This window comes from Homo sapiens, chromosome 5, assembly GCF_000001405.40.
Source record: "Homo sapiens chromosome 5, GRCh38.p14 Primary Assembly".
In the NCBI taxonomy this organism is placed as follows: Eukaryota; Metazoa; Chordata; class Mammalia; order Primates; family Hominidae; genus Homo; species Homo sapiens.
In genome coordinates this window covers 39,638,594-39,646,449 of record NC_000005.10, presented here as the reverse complement: position 1 = coordinate 39,646,449, position 7,856 = coordinate 39,638,594, and the positions used below count along the sequence as shown (strand labels likewise).

General features: G+C 36.1%; 1 annotated feature.

Moving 5' to 3' along the window:
* Positions 306-475: an enhancer, noted in NCBI's record as "experimental_84898 CRE fragment used in MPRA reporter constructs". NCBI's record gives its function as "activates a minimal promoter by MPRAs in K562 erythroleukemia cells, with activity observed for both the introgressed and non-introgressed 5:39646162 variant alleles {active_cell/tissue: K562}" and the evidence as "EXISTENCE:reporter gene assay evidence [ECO:0000049][PMID:34662402]".

The window sequence follows — 7,856 nt, the reverse complement described above, 5'->3', positions numbered from 1 at the left end:
ATCATTACTTGTTGAAAGAATTTTAGGATGAATTGATAAAATATAAGAATAATAGATTTAAATTCATTTCTATCTGACTCTAAACCCACACTCTTTCCACTTGATCTTACATTGTCTTTATGTTTTGGAAACTGTACAATAACTTTAGGTTTGTTCTGAGATCCATCTTCTCTGTTGTAAATTATATAGTCACATCTCTCAAGCTTAACTGGCTTTCCCTATAAGGATAAAGAATTGTGTGCTCCTTTTGTCCCATTAAGACAGAAGTTAAAACAAGAACTGAAATGTGTAGTGCCTAATCTATATAGTACCTAATACAACTTCCGGTATCTGTTCTTTGGCTCCGTGTAGGTTGGGACACCTCAAGCCCTGTGAGACCCATGTTTCTTTTATTTTTCTTGCCATAGGAGGGCATCTGAAGTATAGAGTGCAGATAAGTCACAAATAATTTTTTTAATCAATAGAAGACTCTTTTTAAAAAGGCTTATCACAAGAAAGAGGGACAAAACACTCAAATTTGGTTAAAGAACACAAGGGCCTAAGTTAAGAGGGAAAAGTTAGTCTCATTATAGTTCAACATTTGTTCTTGAGATTTTGCTTTCTTCCAGACCCAAGACAAGGTGACTGCCATAAAGGAGAAAACACCAAAAGAGTTCAGCACTCAAAATCAGCAAATAATAAACAAGTTTGGTCAAATATATTGAATAAAGAGGAAAGCAGTATTTTGCTCATAGAAAGCTTACATTTCAAAGGAAAAGAAAGACACATAAGTAGGTAACTTATTATAAATGCAGATATGGAAACATGCTCAAGATTCTGGGCCCCATACAGGAAGAATATGTTAGGGATGTCATCATAAAAGAGATAGTATCTGAGCTGCCTTGTAAAATATCCAGGTACTTCCTATGCAGGGGTGAAGTAAGGAGGGGATCCCAGGAAAAATAATAGCATGGTCAAAATATAGACTTGAAAAACATTATTAGATGTATGTAGCATTTAAAACAGTGTAGAACTTCAGGATTATAAAGGACAGGCAAGGAAGTGGTGGACGATAACGTTGGAGAGGTAAATAGGTTCAATTCATGAAGGATGAGATATTCACAGGTAAAGAGTTTGAACTTCATCTTGTAGGTGATGAAGAACCATGGAAAAGATTTTCATAGTAGAATACTATTGAAAAAAATCTTTAGGCAAAATAAATTTAATAAAGTTTATTTGAGCAAAGAACAATTCATAAATTGGATAGTACTTTGAATCAAAAAAAGATTCAGAGTGCTGTGATGCAGCATTGTCATATTGGGGTGGAGAGGGGGTGATTCCTTTCCTCCCCATCTTAAGGGTCTTGGCCAACACCCCTATAACAAAAGGCAGATTAACAAGAGAAAAGCATAACAAATTTAATTCATCAGTTTTTCATGACATGGGAGCCTTCAGAATGAAGACTCAAAGATACAGGGGAAACTATCTGATTTTATGCTTCCATTCACTGAAGTAGGGACAGTCATGTAGAAATATGGTTAAACAAACAAACAAAAAAAATGTACGAGCTAACAGTAATAGACTGAGTGAAAAAATCTATCAAGGCCTGCCCAGATTCTTCTTGACCTCTCTATACATCTGCTGGTATGTTTTTGCTTAATCTATAATATATTTAGAGGGGTAGACCAATGTTTAGCTTCTGATTGGATAGGGAGAAACAATGCACTATTAAAATTTCTAATGATTAGTGATGTTGAGCATTTTTTAATGTATCTGTTGACCACATGGATGTCTTCTTTTGAGAAGTGTCTGTTCACGTCCTTTGCCCATTTTTTAATGGGGTTGTTTGATTTTTGCTTGTTGAATTGTTTGTTTCTTATAGATTCTGGAAATTAGACCTTTGTCAGATGCATAGTTTGTGAATATTTTCTCCCATTCTGTAGGTTGTCTGTTTACTCTGCTGATAGTTTCTTCAATATCACTACTGGATATATACTTAATGGAAAATAATTATTCTACAGACAAGACACATGCACTTATATGTTCATTGCAGCACTATTCACAATAGCAAACACATGGAATGAACCTAGGTGCCCATCAACAGTGTACCAGATAAAGAAAATATGGTACATATACACCATGGAATACTATACAGATATAAAAAAGAGCAAGACCATGTCCTTTGCAACAACATGGATGCAGCTGCAGGCCATTATCCTAAGCAAATTAATGCAGGAACAAAACACCAAATGTCACATGTTCTCACTTATAAGGAGGAGCTGAATATTGGGTAAACATGGACATAAAAATGACAACGGTAGATATTAGGGACTAATATGGGATGTTGGAGGGAGGAATGGGTTGAAAAACTACTAGGTATTGTGCTCATTACCTGGGTGATGGAATCATTTGTGCACCAAACCTCAATGACATGCTATTTACCCATGTAACAAACCTGCACATATACCCACTGAACCTAAAATAAAAGCTGAAAAAAAATAAAATTATTTACTCAGCAAGAACAAATAGATGAATGAATAAAATGTCTAGGTTTCATTGGCCTTTAATTCTCCATCTGTAAAGACATAGGGTGGTCCAAATATATGGCTGAGAGGTAAATTCTCAAGAGATAAAGATATACCCAGGGGGTGGGCATAAGCCTCTACCTTGGGTGATTTCTTTTATACAACCATTAGTTGGAATAGAGGCATTGGCAGTTTCTAGTTTAACCAAGAGACTGATGTTAAGTTATTATATACTGAAAGCCTGTCAAAAGACATAGGTACATAGGCATTCTTGCAGATATATCTATTTATGTTCATATGTATATATCATAACATTCTTCCAATATGAGCAGACCTGGTCAGCCCAATCCATTATTGGGGTTATATTAAAACAAGGGTTAAAAATAAATGGGTCCAGAAGCTTAACTAAAGAAGAAACCAGCTGTGCAATCTAAACAGATGGTTGCATTTGGGATTCTAGTTATTTCAGTTACAATGTGGAGGAAAGGATCTCTAAAGTCATGCAAAGATTTTGGCTTAGTGTGTAAATCCAGCATTCAGTTAAATTTTCTGTGAAAGCTATTATTGACTGTTAGATTATTTATTTATTTATTTATTTATTTATTTATTTGAGACGGAGTTTTGCTCTTATCGCCCAGGCTGGAGTGCAATGGTACAATCTTAGCTCACTGCAACCTCTGCCTCCGTGGTTGAAGCGATTGTCCTGCCTCAGCCTCCTGAGTAGCTGGGATTATGGGCACCTGCCACCACACCCAGCTAATTTTTGAATATTTTTAATTTTGAATTTTTTTAAAATACAGCCTGTGTTTCGCCATGTTGGCCAGGCTAGTCTCGCACTCCTGACCTCAGGTGATCCACCCTCCTCGGCCTCCCAAAATGCTGGGATTATAGGCATGAGCTACCATGCCCAACCCGTTAGATTCCATGCAAAGATAAAAAGGAGGAGCAAGAAATAGGAGAGGAAAAGAAATAGGGGGTTCATGATGGAGAGAGGAGGTTCTTGGGAAAGCTGTTTACATTTAAGATGTCATCTGCTTCTGGAGAAAGATCTTTCTGGTCAGCTTTATCTTTAGATTACCAACTGGCATGTAGTTCCATAAATTGAGGGGGCCCCCCTCCAGTTGAGAGACATAGATCTAAGATTCAAGGCCTTGAAGTTTTGCTGGAGTGTGAATTATGAGAAAAACTTAGTATGTTCCCTTTCAACAAGGTTCAAGGGTAGTCTTTCTTTGATATCGTTTCCAAAAGACCCAGTCTCCAGGTTCTAGATGGTGGAAAATCTGATCATGAATCAGTGAGTCACAGAAGCTTATTTAACCTAATGAAAATATGCATTGGCATAATGTATCAAAGCCTCACAATATTGAGTCATGTCAGCGATTACAAATATAAGAAATACATGAGGTTTTATCATGAAGGGCACAGGTATTCCAGTTACTATTTTATAAAGGTGTCAGCTTGCGCATTGCAGTAGGGGTAGATTTAATTATCATTAAAGTCAGTGGTAAAACTTTTGGTGACGGCAATCCAATGAATTCCGTTAATATAGCCAAATTTAGTTTTAGGATACCATTTGTCCATTCAACCTTTACAGAAGACTAGGATGGTAAAGACAATGAGAATGTCATCTTGTTTGTAAAACTTTATTTAATTGTTTAATAATTTGTCCAGTAAAATGAGTTCTCCTATCATTGGAAATCTCTCCAAGGACACTTCATGAAGGAAATACATTTTCTAGTATATACAGATGGATAGATAGATATAGATAGATAGATAGATAGATAGATAGATAGATAGACAGATAATTTGCCACTGTTGTGGCATCAACCTTCCTGCATGGAAAGGCTCCAATCTATCCTGAGAACAGGCATACAGTTACATAACATACTGATAAGCCATGGAGGATAGCAGATAAATGAAGTTTATTTGTAGGGGTGAAAATGATCTTGCAGATACTAAACATGTACCACCTGGAACCTTAATGGCTTTTCTCAAATTAGGAATATGACAAATCAGACACTAGTTATAAACCTTTTTTGCAACTTTAGAACAATAACCCCCATACTTTTTCATAATCTGGACCGTTTTGACTATATTATGGTGAGTTATGTAGTGTAGATCTTTTAATAGTGGCTATTTTGAAGACTCAGTGATGACAAGGTGTCCATCTGGGCTCTCAGTGAGTTCACATTTAGTGTTAAATTTGAATCTTTTAAGTGTCAATTTTCTTTTCTTTTCTAATTCAGGTGCACAGCATCAATTATTGAATAAATTATCATAGGTGGTTATTTGATTGGAATCAATCTTATGGAATTCTTTAGATTGCATACCGTATTACTTATTAATTGAAAATGGAAGTCGGGTAGAGCATTTTCTTGATATTCAGTTTCAGTTTTATAAAAAGCTTCAATTTTACTAATAGCAACTTGTGAGGGCAACAAAGTAACAGAAAGAAGCCCGTACACTTGGGGTATATTTTTAATGGGGATCCCATTAGAAGTGAAAAATCCTCTTTGTTTGCATAGCACACCAAAACCATGGACTATAGAAAAACAAGAAAGATAGAAAACATCATGAGTCAAGAGTTCAAATTAAAAAATGAGGAAAAAAAGCATTTTTCTCACAAAAAAAGTATAAAAGGCATGAATCAATGAAATTTATTTTGTGTTGTCTACCATTTTATTGCTACAACATCAGGCACTAACATGTAGTACTCAATAAATATTTGTTGAATTAATAAAGAAGAGCAGTCCATTTGTGATACCAACAGAAATAGACAGCAGGATGTTGACCCATATGTTTTTAATGGCCTGCCCACTATGTGTAATTATTGGACTAAAGCATCAGGAAATTGAGAGCTTCTTCAGGGAAAAAATACCAACATTTGCATACCGAAGAAGATATTTATTAAAACTGGGAAAAACTAAGATATCAAGCAAACTGAGGAAGAAATCTCACAGAATCCATAGAAGGGATGGCTTGACCTTCTTTTAAAACCCTGTGGCTGGATAAATGTCTGCACAAGGAGAATGCAAAGGCCTTACTTCACATATTTTATCCCAATCCAGCCTAACCCTCTAGATGTCATGAAATAAGTTAATGCCACTGAGACACATGCTGAAGTAGACCAGTCTCTTCTTCGTCCTGCCTCTATCCCCAGTCACAAGGCTGACTGCTGAAAAGTCCCTGACCTATTCTAATGACTTAGAACTGAACCAAAACTTCTAGTGCTATGCAAATCAGAACAGATGTAGGGGCTTCTCCAGGTCCAGATGAATGTTAATTTCTAAAGTGAAGCCTCAACTGACTTTTTTTTTTTTTTTGAGGGAAAGTGGATGTTTCTGTTAGAATTCTGTTCTAAAGCAAGAAAATCTAAAATAATGATTTTTTAAAACTAGACACTGTTTTTTCTTTCACTTAAAAGAAGGCTTGAGCTTCACTAATCACCAGGGATGCTGGCTCCTGTCACCTTGCAACTCTGTCATCCTCAACATGTGGCTTTCTCCTCGTGGTCCAGTGTAGCTGCTGGAACTCCAGCCATCATGTCACATTTCAACCAATAGGAAGAAGGAGAAAAGAAAAGCACCCCACCCCCCTTCCAGAACACTTCTCTAAACTTATACATAACACTTCTCTTCAAATCCCACTGGCCAAAGTTTAGACACAGAACCATAACTAGCTGCAAAAGACCAGAAAATAAATATGTAATCCAGGTGGCCGGGATTGCAGTGGCAAATGAGAAGTTCGGATAAACATGAAGAAAGAGAACCTACATATTTAGTCACAACTAGGAGCTTCTGCCATAGAAAGCAAAAACAGTCTTCTGGGACATTCTCTCCATAGTACTGAGTCTTCTACTTGCCTCAGTTAGGAATCTCAAAAGGACAGCTGAGCTTGGAGCCCTGCAACATGCTCTTTGGAATAAAGCTGCCATGACTCATTCTGTACCCAACCGGTATCCTCAACAACGGCCAGTATGAATCTAGGCTTGACTTTATGACAAATAGAATAACATGAGAACCTCAATTATTTAAAATATTTTATAAAAACCTTAAAATATGATTGATAGTGAGTCATTTTATTATCTCTGTACCTGGAATAGGAAGTGGACACATAAGCTTTTAACAGACACAAAACGGACTTCTTCCTGTTTATCTTTCCTTCTGTCTCTACATTCCTTTGCTTGATGAGTAAACAATCCCAGAATTTCAGGGATCACCAAAAACAGGGGTCAATAAACTGTAATCTGCTGTCCAATTTTGGCCTACTACTTGTTCTTGTAAATAAAGTTTTATTAGAACACAAACAAACCCATGCATGTACATATTCTCTGTGGCTGCCTTCACACTACAACAGCAAAACTGAACAGTTGTGACAGAGCCAATTTGACCCACAGAATCTAAAATGCTTACTATCTGACCCTTACAGAAAAAGTTCGCCAATCCCTAGCTTAGAATCCTAGAGCTGGAAACACTCTAGAAATGATCTAGTGCAAGGGTTCTCATCTTTTATCCCACCAGAAATATAGTACTTCCTTTTTTCTCCTAAAGCCTTTCACTTTAAAAGATTGTTTTGTAATTATTAACAAACTATATTTATTAACTAAATAATTTAATGCATATAATGACTTTCAATCAGAATAGTTCCTCAGCATGAGACAACTTGTGGGCCTACATTAAGCTGCTATTATTGTCATAAAAAGTAAAGAACATTTTATTTCAGACCATGTGTCCTAATAGAGGGAGGCATAACTGACCTCAATTAAGCTTTATTTAAAATGTAATAAAGTGTTCAGATTCTCCTTATGTCCTAAAGAAGTCAAAGAGGCTTGGGGACCCCAAATTGAGGTTCAGAATAGGTAATAAAACCAGCCTAGAGAGCTTCTTGCTTAATGTCACCAAGTAAGATTTAACAGTGATTAAGGCCCTGTCATTCTGACTCACCTTTCCATTTATTGCCTTCCCAGCTGCACAAATAAATGAGAAAACAGAAAATAATAAGTAAGCCTCCTACCACCTCACTAAAATATACATCAGTACACAACATGTATTTCTCAGAAAACCAAGGCCCTTGTGAAAAGATCAGGGTGGGTCCAAACCTGAGAAACTAACAAATCTGTTGGAAAGTCATTTAATCAGAATCAAATGTTCTATTTCTTACTTTAAATGTATCATGGAGTTGTTTTGTTGTTCATTTGTTTATGGAGAAATAGTGTACTAGCAAGATGAAAACAAGCATCCATCCATCCATGTATTGAGTTAAATCTTGGTTTAATTTACTAGAGATATGAATAAGTAAAAACCAACAAAGAAAGAGATTTTTTTCTCTTTAAATTTTCTGTTAACCATAATA